Raw genomic sequence first — 26,113 nt, 5'->3', positions numbered from 1 at the left:
CTTGGAGAGCTGTGCTTGGCAGACTGGGCCAGGGCTGAGCAGTAGGCACTTCCAGGGAAGGGGCTGGGACACACATGGGATGTCCCTAAGAGGCTGAGGGGAGGATTGTCGCACTGAGCCTACCCTGCTCGCAATGCCTCAACACACATACTCATTACATACAACACATGCACATACACACACACACAAAACACACCAACCACACACCACATCTAGAAACCCTGATATCCATCCACACATCAACACATGCATTTCAAACCCAGGACTCACTAAGTGCACACATACACACACGGAACATACACGTCACCATAGACACTACATCCTGCATGCACCACACTCTAATGGCCACAGCACGCCACCCGCAGACATGCTCACATTCAAGAGTTTCACAGAAATGCCCATTCACACATACACAATGCACATCCTACGCACACCCAATACTTGGCACCACACTCGCAATCGTGTTCAAATGCCCACACTACACAGCAACTCGCTCTCTCTACAGCCCATCTCACACCCTCAGGAGTCCTCTCACCCCTGTCTACACTGGGGCCACATCAGCACAATGGTTATACTACTTATCTCTCCCACAAGCCCATACACCTGAGCACATCTGTACAGCGCATCCCCATCCCGCTCCCCACCACACCCCACCCCCGCACCCGGCCGACTCCAGCAAGAGGCTTCCCGCTCGGTGTGCAGCGGCCACAGTGGCCAGGAATTAAAATGCAGCGAGGAGGAGCCGGGCGCGTCAGCACCGCGTCTCCAGGAGCGCACGGCGCTCACGGCCGCCGCCGCCCCGCCCGCCCGGAGCCGCGGGGCCAGCGAGCTGAGGAGCAGGTGCTCGGAGCCCAGCCGCGCCAGCGTCGCGCGGCCGCTGCCCAAGTTCGCCTGGGGCCCAAAGAGGGTTCTCCCGGGCAACCGGGGAAGGAGCTTAGCCGGCGTCACGGCCACCGCGAGCTCGGAGTCTCGAGAGGAGAAGGGCGCGCGGAGCAGCGAGTCCGGGTCACCCCCGGGAGGTGTTGGCGGGTCCCCGCAGTCCCCAGCTCTTGTCGCCGCGGGGGCAGAGAGAAGACGCGAGAGACAGCAAGGCTGGGCTTTTCTGGAGACGCGAGGCACCTGGGAGAGCCGAGGCGAGAAGCGACACTTCCCTGCGGCTAGCATCCTTGAAGGACCCCGGCGGCGAACAGCCTCCCGCAGGACGCCCTGAGAAGCTCTCAGCCCCAGGCGAGAGCGGGCGCCTGGCAGGACTTAGGCGCAGGACTTGGGGAAGCCTAAGCAGGTCTCTGCCGAGCGCAGCCCAGGGAGCAGTAACAAGGAAGGGTCCTGGAGGGGAAGGGAAAGAAGGCGGCAGCCGGCAAGGCGACCACTCACCCCCGTACACACCCACCCCGCCCGCCCAGCCAGGAGCCGCGGTGCGCCTCTGGGGGCGCTCGTTCCTTGGCGCCTTCTCTCCCGTGTCCCAGCACCGCTGGGCTACGGGCCGGGCTGGTGGGGTCCCTGGGGATGTCCAGATCAGGCATGGTGGCCGAGTGGCCCTTCTCCCAGGACCAGCGTAAAAGCTGGGGTTAGGCGGGGCAGGGGGGACTCGGCTCAGGGTCCCCCGAGGTCCAGGACGAGGGAAGGCGGGCGCAGCACCCAGGGACTGGAGAGGCGGCTCCCAGTGGGACCCCTCCAGAAGTAGTGCCGGGCGCCGGGCATCCTCCAGGAAGACCAGGGGCCGGGAAAGCCTGGGAGGCGCTCGGGAGAGGCCACTGCCAGGGGCTGCGGGCTGAGGCGGCGCTCAGCCCCGGGCGGGCGCCCGCGGAGGCGGCAGCGGCGGCGCCGGGCGGGCATGCCGCGCCACCGGAGCTCCTTTCGGGCGCACGCTTCCCTGGCGCGGGCTGCGCGCGGCTGCCGCTGCTGCTGCTTCCACTGCTGCTGCGGACTCCCATGGCGGCTCCGCCCGGCCGGGGCCGCCGCCGCTGCCGCCAGCCGCGGGCTGAATGAATGAGCCGGATTGGCGGAGCCGGGCTGCCCGCAGCCGCGCTCACCGGCCCGGGACGCTTCCGCATGGCCCGCGAGGAGCCGGCGCCCGCGGCGTTGGCGGCTGCCGGGCAGCCCGGGGGCGGCAGAGGCGGCGAGCGGGCGCTGCAGGGGCCAGGGGTCGCCCGCAGGGGGCGGCCATCGCTGAGCCGCGCTAAACTGCACGGGCTGCGGCACATGTGTGCCGGGCGCACGGCGGCTGGGGGCTCCTTCCAGCGGCGGGCGCTGTGGGTGCTGGCCTTCTGTACATCCTTCGGCTTGCTGCTGTCCTGGTCCTCGAACCGCTTGCTCTACTGGCTCAGCTTCCCGTCACACACGCGGGTGCACCGCGAGTGGAGCCGCCAGTTACCCTTCCCCGCCGTCACTGTGTGCAACAACAACCCGCTGCGCTTCCCGCGCCTCTCCAAGGGGGACCTCTACTATGCCGGCCACTGGCTCGGGCTGCTGCTGCCCAACCGCACCGCGCGCCCGCTTGTCAGCGAGCTGCTGCGGGGCGACGAGCCGCGCCGCCAGTGGTTCCGCAAGCTGGCGGACTTCCGCCTCTTCCTGCCTCCGCGCCACTTCGAGGGAATCAGCGCCGCCTTCATGGACCGCCTGGGCCACCAGCTGGAGGACATGCTGCTCTCCTGCAAGTACCGCGGCGAGCTCTGCGGGCCGCACAACTTCTCCTCCGTGAGTTGCCCTCCGCGCGAACCCGCTCCCTCTGCGCCCCACTCCCCGGCAGTCAGGAGGCCTGGTGTTCCGCCCCCTCGGGGCTGTCCCCAGGCCTCTTGCAGTGTTACCACTCCACGATGCCAAGGCAGAACCCATTCTTGGGTCCCCTGAGTCTTCTCCTGCAGGTTGTGGGAACTTGGACTTAACTGTAGGAGGAGTCGCCTCCCACCAGTGGGAGCTCCCCTGTCCCAGCCCCTCCTTCCAGTGTCAGCCCCCAAAGCCCTCATTCTACTCCTTATGGTCCCGTCTGTGAATATTAGTCAGCCTCCTTCTTCCCGACCTCAACTCCAGGCCCTCAGGACTCCAAGAAACTGCTCTGTGTTTGGAGTGTAGATCTCTTAAGTGCGGACTTCTTGTCTTTGGGAAAACCAATAGACGGCTCTTAAAAAAAAAAAAAAAAAAAAGGAAGCGCTTGAAAAATGGATCATCAGGGGAATCACGCAGAGTCCCTAAGCAGGCCTACGATCCGAAGCAGCTTATGTCTTCAAAGTTCCCAAACACTTAGAATCTAGGAGAACTTGTGAGGAAACTCCCAGAAAACCAACACTGAAGCTGTAGACAGTTTGGTGGGAGAGGCAGCAGCATGCTTTGGCTACTTTTTCAAAATGCAGGAGTCTTGAGCATCCAGCGGAACTGAGCAGTGGTGCGCCAGGGTTGGGCCCTTCACCTGGCCTCCGTCCCCCATAAAATGTAAGTGTGGGTCTTCTGGTCTGGAGGATTGCTCCGGAGTTGAGAAAGCATCCTAGCAGGCATGTGGATGCAAACAGCCGCGGCCAGGAGAAGCTGTGCTTAGGGTTTGTAAACCATTTGCTGTGCCGGTTCCCCCACGCTGTGGGTCTGGATAACGCAGCTGTTGGACAGAAGGTATCTGCCTTGTGCAGTCTGCCTTGGAGGAGTTCTGGTGCCAGGCCCCAGCATGATGCATGCCTGTCCAGCCATTCGTGTGTAAATGTCCCTTAGGTGGGTTTGGGCTTTTCCACTAGTGCAGGGAAGGTTGGTGTGTGTGTTTATTGGTAGTGCTATGATGGTGATTTTACCAGATCTGATTCATCACTCCTGAGATCCTCATTTCTGACAAAGCTTTTTTTGGGATGGTAAAGAGATGCCACGGTTCCAACAAGTGTTGGCATGATGCCGGTCAGACCAGGTCTCTCATTGGCTGATTGGATTATTCCTTGTCTAGGAAGGCAATCCTGGCTTCAATCTTGTCCTGCTGGCTTTGCTTTAAGCTTGTATATTTAGTAGCCCTGAATTATCCACTCCGAAAACATTCCTTATTTCCTGAGATTTTCAGCTGGCTTTTAAAGAATATCTACCTGATGGCTCCCTGCTTTGGCAAGTAGGAGATGCTGTTAACATATGCTTCTAAGTGATTTCTTCCAGGACTCCAAGCACAATTCTGAGTTCCACGAAGCTGAAGGAATGAGGGCAGCGATCTCTTGTTGTTTATTGTTTTTTTTGCTGATCACTAATTAGCAGCCTCAAGAGTTAGATTAAAGTTCAAGGTTACATCCAAGTAGCAACAGGCCCTCGCTCCTGCTCCAAGTTTTACAGCATGGCCCATCAAATGTAATTCTGAAAATCTGACTATTGCTTTGCAAAGTGTGTGGAATTGCATTCTAACAGCCACTATGCACTTTTGATACTCACCGCAGCCCTGCGTTAATGAGTTTTATTCCCATTTTTAAAATAAGAAAAATGAAGCTCTAAAAAGCTGTCCAATGCTCAGAGCCAGCAAGTTCAAAGTCCAACTTTGCATACCACTAATTGCATTACACAGAAACCACAGGTACCCTTCCTCTCTGACCTTGGGCCTCTCTTCTCTCAGAGGACTTACACAGGACTCTTGCCCTCTCCCCCACCTCTACTCCTAGGAATCCTGTCCCTCCTAGGAGCTGGGAGAGTGGAAAGTGGAGCCACCCCATGTGGCCCAGGTCATCAGAGTCTTGGCAACATGTCCCTGTGGCATGCAGAGGACACAGTCCCTTCAGGAGCCACCTGACTTCAACCTCTGCAGCAGGCATGGCCATGAGTTGTGTGGGTCAATTGTTAGGGAGTTGAAGACAGTAAGGTCCTTCCCACTGGGGCACACCCTTCTCTTACCTCCCTGTACTCTGAGTCCCTGCGTTTGAAGAGTTTGCAGGCACACACACATCCAAGCAAAAGTATTACCTCCATTCCCCAAAGGTATGTGTTCCTGGAGACTCAGGTGACCCCTAGTGGCTTCCTATCATGGCCCAGTCCTGGGAGTATCCAGCCCCTTAAAGTTGCATGCTGTAGGTTTTTCCAAGGACCTCAGAATTAAAGGCTTCACCCCTCTGTCTGTAGAAGCCAGAAGCTATTTCAGGGAGCCCCAAATATACAGCAGGCCTGTCAGGAATATTTTCCTCTAACCACACTGCCTTGTCTCTAGCCTTTGTCATCTTTGATGGAGTGGCACCAAAGTGTAGTGGCTGAGAACATGAACTCTCAAGCTGCACTGACTGGGCTCAAATTCTGAGTCTACCACTTACCATGTGCCCTTGGGCAAGTGACTTAATCTCTCTATTCTTGAGTTTCCTAAATCATCTAATGGAGATAACAATACTGTATACACCATATTAGTTGTGTGTGTGTGTGTGTGTGTGTGTGTGTGTGTGTGTGTGTGTGTCAGAGAGAGCTCTGAAAACTCTGCTGAGCTCCTATAGAAATGCTTCCTTTCAATCACATCAGCCTCCTAACTGGTCTTTTGGCCTCAAGCTCTGTCCCAGCCAACACCCTGCATCCCATTGTCTGCTTTACAGCCAGAGTAGTCTCTAAAGCACTGCTCAAAGCACATGGTTTCCCTTCTTCAAACCTTTCAGTGGTTCAGCTGTCCTCAGATTAAGACCTGAGCTCCTCAGACCCTCCACCTGGTCCTGCTTTATTTCTTGCCACACCCTCCCTCATACCATATACTCAAGGTCTACAGAACAGCTCCCAACAGCTGAATCCCTGCTCCTCAAGCCCCTCTGCTTGGTTTGGTTTCCGCTGCTGCTGTAACTCCCCTTTCATGCTGCTTTGTCTGCCTGGGGGACACCTGCCTGCTCAACAGGCAGCTCTGGGGTTTCTCCTGCTTTGGAGCCTTTCCTGACCACCTGCTGCATCTATGCCACATCACCAAACAACTGATGCCTTCCCCTTCTTGCCCCTCTTCCACCCTGTTTAGATGTCAATCCTCACACAGGCACATGTCATCACACCTGTTAGACTGTGCCTGTCTCCCCCTCCAGACCAGAGTAGGAATCATATCTGATGTACTTGCTGCCTCCGGCACCCAACAGACAGCTTGACAAGTAGTGACAGGAAAGGACTGGGGAATGCATACCTCCATCAGGTACCCCCAACATTCCCTGTTGTCTTGTGTAGCCTGCAACAAGGCTCCTGGCTTAATTCCTCTAGAGAACACCAGTGAAATGTATTTCAGTGAGAACCAGGCCACTTCTGGGCATTTATTCCTTTTGGGAACAGAGAAGGGAAAGTAGAAAACAAGATGCCAAGCACTCCCCAGACACCTGTGCTCCCCAATCCTAAGAGGACTAGAGCAACAGGTGAGAGATGGAGTTCTAGAGGAGGCCTTTGGGGGGAAGTGCCAGCTGTCCCTAAGTCCCATTTCAGCCAGTTAGTCCCATGGTCTGGAAAGAAACCTGGCAGGGGAGGGGGGTGTCTGTTGGGTCTTATCCTCTAGGCCCACTCGAGATGTGTTTAGTTGCAGCTCCTCTCTTTGTTGCAGCTGTGCAAGAGTTAATCTCTCAGCAGTCAGATAAAGCAGCTTGGCTTCTGAATGCCTGTGTTGTTTCCCTGGCATCAGCTGTGGACTTGAGCTCTGCACACTCTGGCCCTTCTGGGGTTTCCTGGGCCAGAAGAAGGGAGCCTTCCCAGTAATTGGGTGGGATGCAAAACAGTGAGGCAGAGCTATCTGAGCACTGGGGCTTTGGAAGAAGAACCAGGGGGTTGGAACAGAAACCAACAGAGGCCAATCTGAGGTCCTCTGCAGGAACAAGGAGCAATGGCTCTCTCTCTGGCAGATGGCATGGTTCAGGGGAGAGTGCCAGGCAGACCTCAGCGTGGGTCTTTGGTGCTGCCATTTCCTAGCTCTGTGCCTTGGACAGACACTTTGCTCCATGAGCCTCTGGTAATAATTCCTGCCTCGGAGATCTGAGGTGAAGATAACATATGAGCAATAACTGGCACATGCCTGGACAGCAGTAGGTGCTCAATATTCAAGAGCCATTATCATAATGTGGATAAAGTGCTCAGCTCAGTGTCTTGACATCTGATGGTAGCAGTTGCTATTCATATTTACTATAGTATTCATAGTATTCATAGTTACTATTCATAATTACTATTCATATAATTATCATATCATATTATGACCACTTACCTGAGTAGAGATATATGCTCATTTTCTCATTTTCCAGTTCATTCATTCAATCGACCAATGTCTCTTGAAGGTCAACTATATACTAAGTTTCTGTACTAGCTGCTGGGGGGTATAAAATTAAATAAGGCTTGGTACATGCCCTTTGGGAGCTCTCAGTGATGTTGAGGACAGAGGTGTGTGAATAGATACCAGGAGCGTACAGAGGTGCTGTGTGGGCTCCAAGGATCAGACTGGGGATCTTCGATGGTTTATTGGAGGAGGTGGTATCTCAGCTAAATCTTGAAGGATAAGTAGAAGCTCCAAAGTAGAAAAGGAGAGAAAGAGGACTTCAGGGTGAGAGGACAGGAGTCCATTGCAAGAGTTCAGAGACATGAAATAATGAGATTGAACACATGCATTCTAGGCCCCGCGCCTAGTTCAGGGTGGCTGGAGGGAGGGACTGGATGTGCTGAGATGGGAGCTGGGCTGAGGGGTGACGATGCAATTATGTAGTGGGTGCCTGGAGACCAAACTAAAGTTTTTGAACTTTGCAGCAAAACTCTGACTTCTTTCACTACTGGTTGTTAGACTGTGGAGAGAGACCTCATCTGTGTCCCAAACACCCCAGCTGCCACCCTGTTCCTAACTCTATGAGAAGCCACTCCTCCCTGCACCCTTCACTATTGCCCAACCCCCTCTGCAAGAGTTAACCTTGAGTTCAGATTTTGGACCACTCATATGTACTGAAAGCGAAGAAAACAGCATTTAGTTTCATCACATTTTGTCACATCAGACAAGCTGGCTGCTACTTGCCAGGACAGAAAGCAAGAAATCATTTCAGCAACATATTGTTTAAAATCAGCTAACTCTGTTGAAATGGCACTAGGCCAGGCAGTCCAGTAGTTGGGAGGATGGATAGCTTTAGGGAATCAAGAAAGATACTTTTGTCTTTAGAGAAAGAGGAATAAATAAGCTAATACATGTGAGGTGCTTAGACCCATTCCTGGCCCTAAGTAAGCACTCAGGAAATGTGAGCTATTTCCATTATTATGACTTGCGGTGAGAATTTTGAGTGAAGGACAAAGGCAAATAGCATTGGGCAGCTGTGATGTGCCAGACTCTGGCTGGGCATGTTTCATGTCATCTCAATTCTGTGCAATAACCCTGGAAGACTGTGTGAAAATCTACATTTTATAAATGGGTGAACTGCAGTGCTGGGAGCATCTGTAATCCACCTAAAGTCACAGACTCAGCAGGTGACAAAGCTTGGGTTTGAACCCAAGTCCTCCTGACTGCAAAGGTACATGCACGTTCTGCAGCTGCATGAGGAAGGAGTCCATCAGTAGGAGGCAGGGTGTGTCCTGGGAAGTCCAGCCCAACCTCAGCTTTGCCCTGGCTAGTTGAGTGACTTTGGTTTCAGGATTCTCCTGTTTAATATGAGGGCATGAGCCAAATGATCAACGGGATTTAGCTGAAAAGTTCTGTATTCAAGTGGGCAGTCAGGGGAATGGAGAGCTCAAATAGTGCAGATGGCGTGAGTTTTTCAGCCAACCATTTCTTTTCTTTGCAGAGCTGAAACAGTAATTAAGGGGGGAAATGTACAAGTTATTGAAGTGCTAGAGACAGGATGGTGATTAAATAGACATTTATACAAGGAACATGAAAAGACCTCCACCAGTTATTTGACTTCGGGGAAATTAGTTTAGGGAATCAAATGTAAACTCCACTCAGGTCTGCAGATATCCAAAATGACCAACATCAGGATGATTCTGATAGTGGCTATTTTGGGGCCACTTTGGCCAGTCACGAAGGCATCAATCAAATGTCTGCCCAATGGAGAAGGGCTGGAGAAATAGCCAGGACATTTGCTTCGCGGGTCGGTTGCCTTCATTCTCCTAAGTGATTTGCTTGGATGAACTACTCAGAAATTGAGTAAATTTCATTGACTCAATTGGATGTCAATTGGAGTCAATGCACATTAAGCACCTACTGTGTGCCAGGCACTGAGTCACCAAGATGACCATAAGTCTGATCTGTTTCTGGTAAATAGGCTTGCAACAGTCAATGTGCCTCATCGGAGTGACTGAGTCTAAAAGGAGCTTCCTGATATACAGGGAGTGGGGCTGGAATGAAACAGCCTAGGATTTGTATTGGGTACCTGTTACATAAACAGTCACATTCAATTTTAACAGCATGAATGAGTGTCATGGAACCCTGCTTACAGATGAGAAAGCCGAGGCTCAAGGAGGTACAAAGCCATGCATCTGGGAAGTAGTAGAGTCACGATTCAACGAAAGATCAGTCCAGCTTCAAAGCCCATGTTCTTTCCTATGGCTCCATTCTGCCAACACTCAGAGATGCTGATAAGAACAAATCCTTTCATAGAGGGTACCACTCACAATCTTCCAAGCCTTGAAGTTTTTTTCACTGCAAGTTGCTGTAGGCTTTGGAGAGTCATCCTGGGTTCCAAGACCTGCAACCCTGAGAAGGAAAGACGGTTCGTAAGAGGACAAGATCAGTAATGAATTTGCATCCTCCTCTGCCCTCAGACAAACAGAAGAGAAGTAGATCTATGGAGGAGAATCTGCCTAGGAGTTGTGAAAAAAAGTTTTAATTGTGCCACAACCTCAACTAAATCACTATTTTCATTCTTTCAAGGACACTGGTAACTTGAAGTCCTGCATGAGGAAATGGTGCCAAACTGAGTTCCAGCTCGGGCCTGTGCTAACAAATAGATGACTCACTCATAATTGGAACATGAATTGTTGGTAAAACAAATAGAGGCTGCTAACGTACTCAGGAAGTTTGTTCTGAGCATGTCAAATATCTCCCCTGACACCATTGTTTATACTATTAATTTGCCTTGTAAATTGTTTCCTCCGATTCCACACACGTTTATTGAGCTCCTTCTTTCTGCCAGACACTTTTACATTCATTATTTTATTTCAGCTAACAACAGAGCAGACAAAAACGTATTCTTTTGTCCCTGATACCAAAAAGAAAACTGAGGCACTGTGTGGTTCCGTACCTTGGTCAAGGTCACAGAAGCCCTGACTTAGGGTTCCAAAGTCAACGCACTGCATCACAATTGTTCCCACAAAAAGATCTTGGTGCAGCTTTGGCCAGACAAACCTGCATTTGTAATCAGCAGAAGCTTAATTTATTATACCTGGATAGGATGTGATAATGTACGTTGCTATCTCTGCAGCAATGGAGGATGCTGATTACACTCTATTGCCTGCCTAACTCCAGAGGTAGGAGTGACTTGCCTGAGGTCACTCAGCACAGGAATACAAGAAGAGCCAGCATTTGAATTAAGGTCTCTTAAGGCCCCATATACCTTTGCTTCCTCCAGCACCTCTGTTGCTGGTCAGTGTCGGTTTGAGATTTCACCTGCCCTGGAAGATGTTCTTAGGGAAAAAGTGATGGGCTTGTGAGTACTTTGCAGAAAAGAACTGGTACTAAACTGTTGCACCACACTCCAGTTGGCAATGGACGGTTGCAAAGTCCTTAAGGGGGCTACGCTTCTCAAACTTGAGCATGTCCGGGTTACTAGGCCCTCAACAGAGACCCTGATTCAGTAGGTTGGGGCAAGGCCTGAGATTTGCATTTCTAACAAGCTCCCAGGTGGTACAGATGCTGCTGGTCCACAAACCACACTCGCTTTGAGAGACAGGGCTGTGGGCTCCTGGAAGCCCTGTGAATGCTGATAAGGAGGGATCCCTGTGGTTCAGCCATACCGATTCATTGGATCTATAAAAGTGCATGTGGGATGAACATCCTAAAGTGAAGCAAATAAGTGTGCCTGGGGAGAGATGCTGGGCTCCCCAGTGAACCCAAGAGAATGTGCAATATCAGAAGCATCAGTGCTCTGGGGGAAGCCCTCTGCCACACCAGAGCAGGGTTAACAGAGGGCCAGGGCCTAGCTGGGGTGTCAGTCAAACCAAAGTGCAAAGGCCATGTGTAGGCTGAATGATGGCCCCTTAAAGATGCCCATGACCTCATCCCTAGAATCTGTGAATACATTACCCTATGTAGAAAAGGGACTTTGCAGATGTGATTTTTAAGTTAAGGATTTTGAGATAGGGAGAATATCCTGGGTTATCTGGATGGGCCCAGTGTAATCATGGGTCCTTAAAAGTGACAAAAGGAGGTGGGAGAATCAGAGTGAGAGGAGATGGAACTGTGGAAGCAGAAGTCAGAGAGAAAGAGGCCGGGCGTGGTGGTTCACGCCTGTAATCCCAGCACTTTGGGAAGCTGAGGCGGCAGATCACTTGAGGTCAGGAGTTCAAGACCAGTCTGGCCAACATGGTGAAACCCCATCTCTACTAAAAATTCAAAAATTAGTCGGGTCTGATGGCAGGCAACTGTAGTCCCAGCTACTAGGGAGGCTGAGGCAGGAGAATCACCTGAACCTGGGAGGCGGAGGTTATAATGAGCCAAGATTGTACCACTACACTCCAGCCTGGACAACAGGGCAAGGATCTGTCACACACACACACACACAAGCACACACACACACACACACACATACACACAGAGTTGGAGAAAAAGAGATTTGAAAGTGTTACATTGATGGCTTTGAAGATGGAAGAGGGGGCACAAGTTAGGGAAGATGGATGGCCTCTAGATGCTGGAAAAGCCAAGGAAACAGATTCTGCCCTAAAGCCTCCAGAAAGAACACAGCCTTGCCGGCCTTTGATTTTAGCTGGTAAGACTCATTTCAGACTTCTGACCTCCAGAACTATAAGGTAATAAATGTATGTTGTTTGAAGCCGGTAAGGTTTGTGTAATTTGTTACAGCAAGAATTGGAAATTAATAGAGGCCTCATTTGTTTCTGATGTACAAAACACTTTCTATTACAGACCTGAATCCACATTAGTGAACGAGGCTGGGTAATTTTGAAGCAGAATCTGTCCAAAATTCAAAAAAATGAAAGAATTTGTAACAAACATGCATCTAGTTTCAGAAATAGCTTGGGAGTATTTTAACCACACTTACATAATGCAAGATTGGGAATTTGGACTCCAGAAACTTAGAAAGGAGGTGGTTAGGGGGAGTAGAAAGGAGACTGCCTCAGGAGTCGACAGACTCAAGTTCAAATCCCAGCTTTGCCAGGTATTATGTTGGCTGGGTGGCCGTTAGAGAGCTGCTTACCCTTACTGAGACTCATTTGGTTCATGCCCTCATATTACAGAGGAGGATCCTGAGGCCTAAGTCACCCAGCCATTCAAGGCAAAGAGGAGGGTGGACTGGACTTCCTAAGACACACCCTGCCTCGCACCAATGCATTCCTTCCTCATGTAGCTACAGAAAGAGCATGCACATTTGCAGTCATGAGGACTTGAGTTCAAATCCAAGATATGTTTTAGTATAAGCTTTTGTTTCCTCATTTGCGAAACACAGACCATACTTTTCGTGTAGGGCTGTTTCAAAACTTAAAAATCATATGTTAATCCCTTTATTATTGAGAGCCAGCCATAGGCTAGTGTTTGTGGATAAATGTTTAGTGTAAATACAGAAACTGTTCCTGCTCTCTTGTATGTAAAAGCACAGCACAGGTGTGTAGGTCCTAAATAAATGTGAGCTACCACTATTATCTTCATCATCCTTATCATCATTAAAATAGGTGATTCCCCTCAATTCTTCCAAGAAAGACTTTTAAGGCCGTACAAAAGTAGACTTCAATGGCCTTCTGTATATTGTTACAATTCTAGCCAAGAAACATTATGTCATTTTCATATCACACCTCTCTGGGTAGGTCAGAGCCCTTTTATGTTTCTTCCCCATTCAGTACTCTGATCAAAATTAAAAATCAGAGAGGGAGATTGAGTTGCTCAAGGTCACACCGCAGGTCACTGGGAAGCTTGAAATAGACTGTAAGGAGATTCATTCTTAAGCCTACAGATGACACTTTTGTATCACAGCAATATCAGTTTGTTCCTCTGTAAACTCTCTCTTCTTCCAAAATATGTATTCTGGCCATCCCCATCTGATTCTGATGGCATATCTGATCTGAAAGTTGTTGATACTCTGATCTTAGAAAGTGAAGGGTTTAATCTTCTCTTGGAACCCCTCCCAGTGAAAATTATTTTGCCACTTTGAAATGGCACGGGCATCCACTGTGAACTCACATCCATAAATCTAAGTCTACTGCTCAGGAAAGCAGATGAGGTTTGATTCTGCTTCTCAGCACAGTCTCACAGAGAAAATTATGGAAAGAATTTGATTTATAGAACCACCTCAAAGGCTCTGGAGTGAGACGCATGTTGATTCACTTTATTACCATTTATTTTACACTATCTCTTTACGCTCCCTGCACATGGATTTGAAAGATGATTTGGATAAATGCTTATGACCTGTCAGATTGCATAGCCCTGTTGAGGCACATGGCTGCCAACATCTCGGGTTGGGGGATCCTCATACCAGTTTTGGGGGTCAGGCCCAGCCTCTAACAAACAGATGTGGAGGTTCTAGCCCAGAGTTCTTGTCTGAACTTTCCCAGCTCTATGTTTGTATGGTACTTGGTGTGGATCTCCAGCTGCAACTGCAGGATGTATACAGGCAGGCTTGATTTAAGATTCAAATATCTCAGAACAGCTGGGGATATTTAACATCACTATAATTACATTACATTTTTGATGGTGCATGGAGTGAGAGCCTTTTTTGTTGTTGTTGAATATTCTATGAGCATCAAATATTTTAACCAGCCGGGGAAACATGACTGCATTTTTCACATCCAAGTAGTTTTGTTTTTATAATTCCGGCCGGGGATGAGTGTTTCGGGCTTTCATCTTTTGCCATGTCTTTGGAACAGCAAGAGCAATGTCTCCTACGCTCTTAGGTGGGCTATGATGCTGGGGAAAGACGAAAATGGGGCAGGAACATGTAGGCACCCGCTATGTGCCAGGAGTGAGGAGGGGTCAGCTCACCAAAAGTGGCCTTGCTAATAAATGATGTAGCTGAGATCTCTACAAAGGCAAGTCTGGCAACTTAGGTGGAATGGGTTGCCAGGAAGTGGGACACGGGAGAGGGATAAAGGAAGGCTACTATATACATGGCTCTGTGCCTCCCATTTGTTATCTTCTTTAATCCTCAGGACAACACTCTGGGGCTATACCCATTTTACCAATGAGGAAACCGAAGCTCAGAAGGTTAGTAGAAAAAGTGGTGATGAGGATCTGCATCTCACACTCTTAAAATATAGCATTTGGAATATTCAATGCACGCCACCACAACTGTCTAATTTTAAAAAAATTATAGAGTTGGGGTCTTGCTACGTTACCTAGGCAGGTGTAGAACTCCTGAGCTCAAGCAGTCCTCCCACCTCAGCCTCCCAAAGTGTTGGGATTGCAGGTGTGAGCCACCAGGCCAGACTGGAATTTTTAATTTATGTTGACCCCTGGCTACCTCACTCCCATTGCCTCTCTCTCGTGCTCCACGTTCCAAGAATTTTAACCAGCCAACAAGCCAGGAAAGCACCTAATACCTTGACCGACCTCCCTCTTCCCATCCTCCTGGATTTATGAGTTCATGGCCCAAAGTCACAAAGCTAAGTCACTGGTGAGCTGCTTATCTCTATTCCAAAGAATTTTCCAGCTTCCATGTCCTTACTTCCTTTCCCCTGGATGCCCTGATTCACCATCTCTGCCTCTGATGCCCTGTCTATTCTAGACAACTGGGTGCTTAGATATGCCCAGAATATGCCTGGAAGGATGCCTGAGATCTGATAGCAGGCTGTCTCTGAGGAGAGGCCTGGAAGATGGGGTGCAGAAAGAGAGAGGGAGCCCTGCTTCTCACTCTTCACCCTTATCTATGACCCGAATATTTTTAGCCACGTGTGTATAACTTACAACAAATCAACGCATAAGACAAAAGAAAAATACTGTTTCTAAAAATCTCATCTCTTCTATGGTTATCTCAGGCCACTCTTCCATATAAATCATCTGTAGGCAAAGGGATGCTTTCCACCCTTTCAACCACGCAAAACTCACTTTGTTTATGCCCCTCTGATGACCCTTTCCTTTCTCGGTCTTTTATTGCAATCCCGTGCATTGAGTCAGGTTCCCCTTCCTCAGCTGTCATCTCCTTGAGGGCAAGGGCCATGTCTGGCTTTATCCTGTAGCTGTCCCAGCACCTAACGCTGTGCCTTGTAAGTGACAAGTTCCCTGTCTGAATATTGAATTGTCGAAACAGGAAAAAGGATAGTTCCACCAAAAAAAAAAATATATGTGGACTCATTCATTCGTTCATTCATTCATTCAATAAAGAGTTATGGCAAACGATCATAGGCCAGGGATCCCGGGAAATATGGGATACAGAGGGAAATGGAGCTGACCCTCCCCTCACAGAGCTCTCATCCAGATCTGTGCTTTCCAAGTCTCCCCAAAGATCAGAACGATGGGAAGGGCTGATTTAAAAAATCCCTCACTCCAAACCAGAACTATTGAATCAGAATTTATAGGGGAGAAGCCCATCAATTTTTTTTTTTTTTCTGATACAGGGTCTGTCTCTGTCACCCAGGCTGGAGTACAGGGGCATGATCTCAGCTCAGGTGATCCTCCTGCCTCAGCCTCTCAAGTAGCTGGGACTACAGAGACGCACCACCATGCCTAACTGATTTTACGTCAGTCTATTTTTAACAGACACCCCCAGGTGATTAAGGATTTTAGAAAAACATTGTATGTTGGGGGGTAAAGGAGCAGATAATATGTAAGTTAACAAATAAATGAACAAGACTCCTTCCAATATGAATAAATGCTGTGAAGGCAAAAAAAAAAAAAATGAATAAGGGCATCTGATAGGGAACAGCAGGGGCTGCCTGAAGCCAGGGAGCAGGGGAGGATCGATTCTCTGAGGAAGTGACATCTTCACTGAGATCAGGAAGATGAGAGGGGGAAACTATGCAGGGATCCGAAAAAGGATTCCAAACAGGGTAACAGCCAACCAAAGGCCCCGAGTTGGGGAAGGATCTGTCTTCTTCCTTCCCACACTGGAAAACCCAATTCCAGTCACTCATTCGCTTGTTCTTTGTACTGTGGGTACATCTGGCTCCTTCCAAGATGTGGCTGCCTCTCTCGCCCACACAGTATGAAAGAACAGCCTGATTCTAGCAGCTCTGGAAATATTGACCTCCGGAATGCTAATGTAACATAGCTTTAGGTCCTTAGGCCGAACTTTCCTTCAAAAAATAACTCCAAGTGAATGGGAAAAAACTGCAGCAGGAGGAACCCAATCACATATCCCTGTCTAAGGGCAGCTCGGTGAGACTGACTGAGCCAGGCCCTTTTCTTTGGAGTATTCCATTCTGGGTAATTAGCACCACATTCCTCTGCTGATTAATCTTCACCAGGGCAAAGGTCTTAAGCCTTTGATGTTCAGATAGAGTTTCCTCATTCAGCCTCCAAAACGTTAGGTCAGGATGGCTGGTTGCCCACAGCAAAAACAGGCCCTTTCCCTGGCATTGTGTTCCGCAGAGAACTTGCACATCTTTCACGTCTGTTATCTTCATGATAACCATGTGGTGCAGTAAAGCCAATTGAATTGTTCCTGTTTTACAGATGGGGCAGCTAAGGCCCAGAGAAGAGAATTGACTTGCCCGAGGTTACCCAGCTGGTACCAAAGCCAGGTCGGTTCTGACTCCTATTCCAGAACTTCCCTGACTCATGGTGGTGAATTGCCACTGGGAGTTTAAATATGTGTCCTTCTCCAAGTCTCAAAGTCAGTGTCACCTCCCAGGGGAAGTCTTCCCTGATCCCAATGGAGAGCACTGTGAAACCTGGTCACAGGGAATTGAATCCTTGGCTTGGAGGGCCCACAGTGCCACCTGGGTCATCTATAGACAGAATTTCTCAAACTTCAATAACTTTTATGTGCATGAGAGTCACCTGGGAATATTGCAAAAATGCGGATTCTGGCTTAGTAGGTGGAGCCTGAGATTCTGCATTCCTGTCAAGCTCCTAAATGACATCAATACCACGGGTACATGGGACCACATTATATGTAGCAAGGATGTACAAGTCTGGAGGCAAAAGCAGGATGGAATAAAAGAGAAAGAAGGGCCTCTGTCCCCAGACAGACCTGAGTGCATATCAACCCTGCCATTTTATTCTGTTACAATAAATCATCCTTTGGACAGAGTTCAAAGCCCACCTTGTCCTGAATCCTGCTCTGAGAAGCAAAGCGGCTTCCCCCAGGCTAGACCGTCAGGCTGCTGCTGCTTAGATGTGCAGACAGCACAGCAATTGTTAAGTTTCTATTAAGTTAACTCTTTCCTTTGTCTTTATATGATACTGAAATGACAAGCCATTGAGGGAGTCCATGTGAACGGAGAAATGGCAACGGAGTCACATACCTCCAAAAGGAGTTAGTTCCTGCGAGGATGAGCTGCTAGATATTTCTGCTCCCTTTTCTGATTTTGTGGATATCAGTAAATGTGACAATGACAGGTGAGAATCCAAGGAGAGCCTCTGGCTTGATCACAGTAATCAGTTTTTGTCTTTGAGCAGCATATTGCTACTTAGGAGCGAGAAAGTCTTCAATTAAGGGAGCCGTGCCAATAACAGGGCATTTCTAGGTAATGCAGCTAGAAGCTTTCACTTTTGTCGCTACAAGGCCTTTAGTTAGAATTGCTAAGGCTGTTTGCAAACCATGCCTTAGCTTATTCATTCAATTAAGTCATTCATACCCTCATTTGTTTTTTCAGCCATTCATTCCTTTGCTTACTCTTTTATTTATTGATTGACAATATTTATTTATTATTATTTAGTGATTGACAGCTTCATTTACTAATGCATACATTTATTGAGTACCTTCTATATACCAGGCACTGTGCCAGCCTCTAAGGAATCAAAGTGAATATACTCCAAGTCATCAAGTCAATCTCCCCTGCTCCCATAGTATCCTATATCCAGTCAACAAACTAGACCCCTCAATGGCCTCTCCAGTCTGGTGCTGAAAAACTGGACCAGCCATTTATCTTTTGCCTGAAAACCTTCCCTGCCTAAAATTATCATGTGGTTCCGTGCTGCCTACAAGATAAGGCCAAGCACCCAGGTAATCTCAACTGTCACCCCCACACATGCATTCCTCCATGTCGAGCTGCTGGGATTCACTGTATCTATCATGTTCTTCCCAGCCTTTCCATATGCTCTTCCCTCAGTCTGGAATGTCCTGCAACCCCGTGGTCTTCCCTGTGCTGCATACAACCACTGATGCCCTGAGAGATTACTGTGGAGTGGGTAAGGGTAAGGGCACCTGAGTTTAAGTCTTCACTTTTCCATAGACAGATTTTATGGAAGTCTGCAAGCAGTTTCACGTCCATTCTCCATTTGGATTTGCACAACTCTAGGGAAAGGTAACAAAAGAGTTCCAAATCCCAGGCAAGTGGAGTGACTTGCTCAAGGTCACAAACCTAGCAAGAGTCCGGGTCTAAGCTACAACCTAGCTCTTCCCACTCCCTTTCCAGGGCCGATGCTAGTTTACGACACACACAAAGAAGACGTTAGCCACTGGGAGTCATTAATTGATACCTGTAGGCGTTTTTATTACTTTCCACTGAAGTCTAGAAGGATCTGCTATGGCCAGACAAGTAAGCTGCAGAGGAGAACTGAGGTTATAGTGCGAAGATTCAGATTTTCGAAAAAGCAGGTTTTGCCTGAGATATTTAAATAACTCAGTTACTGCCACCCCATCCAGGAGAGGACAACCAGGAGGTGGTATATGACTTCTGGGTGGGAGGGGAATTGTGTGGGAGGCGGGGATCAGGCTTCCAGAGAGAAATTACCATTTTGTATTTATTACTTTGGCTCGCAGGAGTGCCGCAGGGACAGGCTTGCTAATACGTTGGATAATTGCCTCAGTTCACCACTTCATTTTGCAGTGTGTAGACCAGCCCAGGTGCAGACTTGCAGAACATTTTTCAGCCTGGGCCTCCCAGGTACCCTGAGCTCTCTCTAGGGGCATGAGGTTCTGGTGAGGAGGCATGGGGAGTGGGAGAAATGAGGAGGGGTGGTGTCTGTCCTCAGGTACTAGGGGGCACCAGGATCATCTGGTCACTTTGACCACAACTGCCGAGTGATGAGTGATGAGAGTGGAGGAAGAGTCCCAAGCTAGGAACCAGGAGACCAGAGTTGCACTCTACCACTAATTCCTGGACAACCCTGTTTCTTTAGCTGCCCGCTCTGGGCCTCTAGTGCCCATCCAGAAAATAAGGGAGATCATAAGTCAGGATTTTTCAACTCTAGCTGCACATTAGAAATCATCTGGGGAAATTTTGTTTTTTAATGCTAAAGCCCAAGCTCAACCCCCAGAGATTCTGATTTCACTGGCTTGGGGTCAAACCAAGCATGGGTATTTTTTAGCTGGAGTCACTGATATATGCAGTCTTTCTTAGGATGGACATTCTAGGAGCCTGTGTTGTCAAAAAAAGTAACAAGTCAGTGACCTTGAGGTCCAGGGTCATGTGTTTCCATGTTTAGATTTTTGCTATCAATTATTTGTACTTGCTGGATTATTTGTACTGTCTCTCCCCAGTTAAGTTTCCTCTTACCAGTGAATGTTGGAGAACTATACGCTAGGAGACAGGAGACTTCACTTCTGGCCTTTTTTGTATTAGCTCTGTGATATGGGCAAGTCAGTGTTGGCTCCCTGGGCCTCAATTTCCTCATCCCCAGCTAATGAGAAAGCAGCTGGCCCTTGCCTACCTGCAAGTAGGTGTTGGAGCAGACTTGGTTTCACAATGCTGCCTGGTTTACAAAGCATTTTCCCATCCAGAGCCTGAGATAAGCCTGAGAGTAGAGAATACTATTCCATTTTCATAGATGAGAAAACAGATGCTCAATGTGGTCACATCACTTGCCCAAGGCCATCCAGACAGTATGAAATGGAAACAGACAGATGTCAGTTCAGATCCTATCAATGTCACTTCCAAACTCACTTTGACTAGTTCATTAACATTTCTGCACCTCAGTTTCTTATCTGTAAAATGGACGTAAGTACCACCCATTGCCTTCCCACAGAGTGATTGCAAGGAATAAAAATGATGACCAGGCAGAACTTGTGGAGCCTGGCACAAAGCAGAGGCTCAACTAATATTTCCTTCCTCCCCCTCCCCCAGTCATTTCTCCCATTCTGCCTTTAGTCTTTCTTCTTCCTGCCCCTCTCCGGCCCCCCAACTTTTTAAACTTTTCAAGGACTGGCATCTTGAGAGGCAGTTCACTGAGCGTGACCTTGGGCAAGTTGTTTAATCCTTCTGTGCCTCAATTTCCCCATCTGTAAAATGTGGATAATGGTGGTATTTGCAGTTGTGAGGGCGAAATGAATTGAGAGGATGGCTTCTGGTGTGGAACTTTGGCTGTTATTGTTCTGTTTTCTTTAAGGCCTTCCTTCTCCTCACTGGGTCCTGGCATGAAGGAGTACTCCCCACCTCCACCCCCTTCAGTGGTTGTTGAGTGAACAAGAGAGGGATCCCTCCAGGCAGAGGGACAATAAACAAGCCCCTCTCCCAGGTCCTTCCTGTGTTGTCAGCTGTGACAGCTCTGCTGAGTACACACAGCCCCCAGGGTTCCTGGGCAGAGAGTAACAACCCTATATCAGGGGATTGCTTACTATCTTGAGATGGGAAAAACAGAAAAAGCTATAAATATGAAGGATTCATCTTCGATAAGTCATGGTTAGAAACCCCAGCTATATAACTTTTTAATTCTCCACTCCAGCTTGTAAGCTCACGCAGTAAAAACAGTCACTAGTAATCTATTTTTTTCTACTCTTTTAATTTTGTAATTTTTTTCTTTAACCAACCAAAAAAAGTCCTCCTAAACTCACCTTAAGCTTTTATTTTTTCCCCCTTAGCAGTCATAAAATTTGGCCATGGATTACAATTTAAAAGCTATCTCTTCTCCTACATTGCCAGAATGAAAATGTACAAACTCGGGGCAATTTCTTAACTAAGTGTTGGTGAAACAGGAGTGAGTCCTGGACTCTGTTTGCATCACCTGTCTCCAGGTGGAAAAGGAGGCTGGCGTGGAGAGAGGCAGTTCAGTCAAAAGAAAAAGATACTTTGCAAGGGTATCGTGGAGCTGAATGATCTCAGGCAAGTGTCTCTCCTCCCAGGGCTCAGTTTTCTCATTTGTAAAAAGTTGTTGAAAAATAGTGACAAACCTCCCTCACTGGGATGTTCTGAGAAACCAAAGAGATAATCTATAAAAAATTGTTTTGTTCAATGTAAAGCATCATAAGCATGTTGGAGATTATTGCTACTACTGACAATGATGATGATGGTGATGATGGTGGATGATGATAGTGATGACAATGTTGGTGATAGTGATGACAATGTTGGTGATGGTGATGATGCTCACGATGACGATGATGGAGGAATGGTGATGATGATGATGATGACAATACAGCCATGTGCAGGGCAGGGCTCATGGGTTTATGTGATAAGAGGATTTTCCTCAGAGCCTTGTATATCTCTATGTACAAAAAATAGGTGCTCAGTAAAGAACTGTTCACCTAAAATCTACTTCAGAATTCAGTTTACCTCTCAGAGGTTTAGGTCATTTATTCAGTAAGAGTTAATTGAGTGCCTACTGTGTGCTAGCTCCTGTTAGCATTGGACTACAGCAAACAAACAACACAGACACAGTCCTTGCCTTCATGAGGCTTATAGTTTAGAAGACAATGGGATGGAATGGGATGGTAAAGGTAGATGGTAAACATATAAACAAATGCCATAATTTCAGATGATAATGAGTGCTCTGAAGACAACAAAATAGGATGATAGGATAGACAGAAATGGAAATGGATGTTTGTAAGATGCTTTAGCTCATTAGCTCATGTAGTCAGGAAGCCCTGCATGAACAGGTGGCATTTGAGCCAAGATCAAAATGATAGGGGGATGCAATCAAGGGAAGACCTAGAGGCAAGGTGCTCTGGGCAGAAGAGATACAGTGCCAAGTCTCTGAGATGAGAATGAACTTGGTTTGTTCAAAAAACAGAATGAAGGCCTGTATGTCTTGAGCAGAGTAGAAGAGGAAGACAGTGGTATGAGCTGAAGTTGGATAGTAGGTGCAGGCCAAATGCCAAGGCTTGTAGGCTGGGCTGAACTTGGAGATGACTCCCACTGCAGTGAGAAGCCACTGGAGGGCTTAGGAATGAGAGTGCCATGAGTTAATATACCCTGCAAGAATATCATTCTGACTTCAGAGACTGGATGAGTGTGGATAAGAATGGAGGCTGGATGACAAGTTAGGAAGCAGATGCAATACTTGAGATGGGAGATGCTGGTGGACTGGACTAGGGTTTTGGTGATGGAGGTGGTAAGCATGGTCCAATTTGGCATATATTGAAGGTAGGTCCAGTGAGACTTCATGGTGGATTGGTAGTAGAGGGTGATAAAAGCAGGGCTCAAGAATAACTCCCAGGTTGTGGGCCTGAGCTGTTGGGCTGATCCTGGTAACATGAATTGAGAATGGAAGGCTGGGGGAGATTAGATATGGGTGTTGAGAGAGGTGGGAGGCGAATTCAATGTTTGGGGTCTGTTGAGACTGAAGTAACTATTGGGTATCCTAGTAAGTAGTTGGACACATAAGCCTGGAGCTCCAGAGGAGGTCAGGACAGGAGATTGGGATTTGGAAGTCATGGTGGAATAGTGGCATTTAGTCAGTGGGACTGGGTGGGATCGCATAAGTGGAGTGTGTTGACAGAGAAGAGCAGCAGGCTGAGCACTGGGCCCTGGATTCGCCAACATTTAGGGGTCTGGAAGTAAAGGAGCAGGCAAAGGAGGGTGAGAGGGAACAGTCAAGGAGGTAGGAGGGAAATCTAGAGGGCACTGACCCAAGGGAGAAGGGTACAAATGGGGCGTGGTCAGCTCTGTGCAACAGCAAGCTGCCAACAAAGGACAGGCTTCTCCCCTGTTTAGAAGCAGGAGGCTGTGCAGTGTAGAGGTTGGAAGCATAGGTTTTGGAACCAAATGCACTTAAACCCAGGTCCTGGTGGTGCCATTTCTTGGCTTTCTGACTTTGACCAAGCTCTAACATCCTGGATCCTTAGCTTCCTCCTCTGCGTAGCATTATTGTGCAGTTTATCCAAGATGTTGTCTTTAAAGTGCTTAGCACTGGGCCTGGCATAGAGTAGGTGCTCAATAAACAGAAGCTGTTTGTATTCTTCCTGAAACTGTTCAAGTGAGTAGAGTCATCGTCAGTAAGACACACTACAGAAGGGCTCAGGTTAGGAAGGGAAGATTTCATTTGGGCAATCCAGCCTTTGTCAGGGTTAGAAATGAAGTTGTCTTTAAGGTTCAGACAGGTGATATAAGAAACAGACAGGTAGAAGTGGATAGGAGCAGTAACACCACTGGCCGGCTGGACCACACACACCCAGCCTAGAGGCATCCTAGGTTAAAATGTTTAAAGCTCCATGCAGGCTAGATGAAACCCATTCTCAGGCCCAGAACAGCTCACATGCATTTGGGACTCCATTTAGATGATGGTAGACCAGAGAAGAATTTTAAACAGGGTGTATGGATTGACAGTATCAAATTTGCATTTCAGAAAGACCACTCTGGCAGCAAGGCAGGGAGAGGATAGAAGGGGGTGCAGGTCTAGTCCAAGGCAAGGAGAGAAGCCAGGGAACTCTGTGCTCAGGTGAGAGGGGACTGGGATGAGGAAATGGGCTGATTATAACATAATTAGCTCTATAATCAGTATGGAGGCTTATCATTTCAAAATGTAAAGATGATTATATGATTAAAGGCTTTTTTCCTTTTAATGGAAATAACTTGCCAACCTGGGGGTTTACTAGGTGGGTGGTCGGAGAAAAAGGTAAGCTATTAATTTTTAACCAATTGACTTTGCAATGAATTAGTTTATTGATTCAAAAAAATCGCTCATTGTAGACAGTAAAAGTTATAAATGAGATTAGTGTCTAGTTAGAGTGAATGCTAAGTGAAGGGGCCCAGGAGGCTTCCCTCATTCAACTGAAGAGAAGTCTTGCATGGATGGAGCAGAGAGGCATCTGGGCTGGCCCACAGAGCCTGCTGGGACCAAGCACATGGCTGGAGGCAGTGGGCTCAGATACGGAACTATTCCTCTGCTCTCCCTAAAGAAGTGATTGAACTTTAAGCAATGAGGTGATCTAAGCTGACCAAACACAGAAACTAGTTTTACTACCATTCCTAGTGTTTTTAAATGCACAAACTAGAAAAAGGAAAGAAGGAAGGAAGGAAGGAAGGAAAGAAGGAAGGAAGGAAGGAGGGAGGGAGGAAGGGAGGAAAGGCAGGCAGGCAGGCAGGCAGGCAGGAGGGAGGGAGGGAAGGAAGGAAGGAAGGAAGGAAGGAAGGAAGGAAGGAAGGAAGGAAGGAAGGAAGGAAGGGAAGGAGCCCTTAGGTTCCAGAAACAATGAAAGACCTTAAAAACCATGGTGTTCAATACACAGCTGGCTTCCTGGGGGCCTGTGGGACCAGGTCCTAGGCTCCAGGCCAGGAGGCTGGTGTGTTTGGGGGATGGAGGAGGGTGATGATCACCTGAAGCCCCAAGAGAGGGTCCTTGCATAAAGGACTATTGATGGGGGTGTCATTTCTGTGTTTCCCCCCGATGGGACACCACTTGATACATCATTTCTGTTAAGAGTAGAAAACTCCATCCAGAAGCCCAAGGAAGCTAGGTGTCTCCCAGGGGTTCTAGGTCGGGGGGTCAGGGAGACAAATCTCCCACAATAACTAAAGTCTGCAAGCCTCCATCATGTGTGAGTGTAGGATCTGGATTTATTACTCTACCCATGTGGCATAAGAATCTCAAGTCAAAAATTAAACACAAAAACTGGTCTGAATCTGGGGTAATATGGGGCCCCAGGAAAGCAAGTACCCAGGATAGTTCTTTTAGGGCACTCCTCACAATGCACTTCCTGCAGGCACAGAAGAAAGACATATCAACGTCACACCTGTTCATATGCTCATTAAATGTAGTGCTAGAATGCACCTGTCTCATCCAACCCCCTCCTTCTGTAAAGATGGAAATGAAGTCCCAAGGAGGGGTGTTGACTTGCCCAAGGTCACACAATGTATTTGCGTTAGGAAGTGTGGGCTGGAGGAAAGAGCAAGTGTGTTGGGGGTGGTAAGACCTGATTCTGAATCTCTGTCCTGTCATTTAGTAGATGTGAACTAGGTGAAGCGGCATAAACTTTCTGAGCTTCAGTTTCCCCATCCACAAAATGGAATCATGGACATCTACTTTGTAGGATGGTGGGGAAATGAGGCAGATGTCTCTGGTAAAAGTGCTTGGGACGGTGGTAGGTGCTCTATATGTGTTAGTGTCCTTCAAACTTTGCTCTTAAAAAAATCCCCTCCAAAGTGCCCACTCAAGTCCCAGTTGACCTTGATGACTTCTTTATCTACTGGAACACCTGTGTTGTGTTACTTAGCACTAAATTTCTTATTGTTATAGAGTTAATTTTTTAACTCCAAATCCTGGCTTTTGAAGTTCCATTTAACTTTGTGTATTTTGATTGTCCTTACTTATTTCCTACTGCTCCTCAATACTCTAGTAGACTGGGGAATGGATGGATGAGTGAATAGATGAATGGATAAATGTATAGATGGATGGATGGATGGATGGATGGATGGATGGATGGATGGATGGATGGATGATGGAAAGATGGATGGATGATGGGTGGATAAATGATGGGTGGATATCAGTTAGGGTTTGCTGGTTGTAAACAATAGAAGCTGATCTTGGCTAAAATAAGCAAAAGGGATTATATTGGAAAGACATCAGATTGCTCATAGAATCAATAGAAAGGCTGGAAAATGAGACTGAAAAAAGCAGGAAATGATATACAGGGGCAATAATCACTCCTCTGTCAGGTCAGGGCGCTGTCCCTGGAATGAATGAACACCAGGCATTTATCATGCACAGGACCAACTGCCTTCAAAAGTCAAAGTCCTTTGTCGATATATCTTGGGTCACATGTCCCTTGATTCATAAGCCCTTTACGCA

At 47.9% G+C, this 26,113-nt stretch overlaps 1 protein-coding gene across 2 annotated transcripts in view, besides 1 other annotated feature; it reads left to right on the top strand.

Moving 5' to 3' along the window:
• ASIC2 (acid sensing ion channel subunit 2) overlaps positions 1–26,113 on the top strand; it is a 1,143,682-nt gene that overhangs the window by 862,664 nt on the left and 254,905 nt on the right. The window contains exon 1 of one of the 2 annotated variants that reach the window (NM_183377.2): positions 810–2,697. The exons of the other annotated variant lie outside the window; for it this stretch is intronic. Within the exon in view, the coding sequence (NP_899233.1) occupies positions 1,990–2,697 (708 nt within the window). The 5' untranslated portion in view covers positions 810–1,989. Of the gene's footprint in view, positions 1–809; positions 2,698–26,113 lie in introns of those variants that run through there. 2 annotated transcript variants of the gene reach the window in all.
• Positions 1,613–1,783: a silencer, noted in NCBI's record as "fragment chr17:31619340-31619510 (GRCh37/hg19 assembly coordinates)". NCBI's record gives its function as "represses an EF-1alpha promoter that drives an FKBP-Casp9 reporter gene in an ReSE screen in K562 erythroleukemia cells {active_cell/tissue: K562}" and the evidence as "EXISTENCE:reporter gene assay evidence [ECO:0000049][PMID:32094911]".

The sequence above is a fragment of the Homo sapiens genome, chromosome 17 (assembly GCF_000001405.40).
Source record: "Homo sapiens chromosome 17, GRCh38.p14 Primary Assembly".
NCBI lineage: Eukaryota > Metazoa > Chordata > Mammalia > Primates > Hominidae > Homo > Homo sapiens.
The sequence above is the reverse complement of the archived record's forward strand: the minus strand, read 5'-3'. Positions and strand labels throughout refer to the sequence as shown.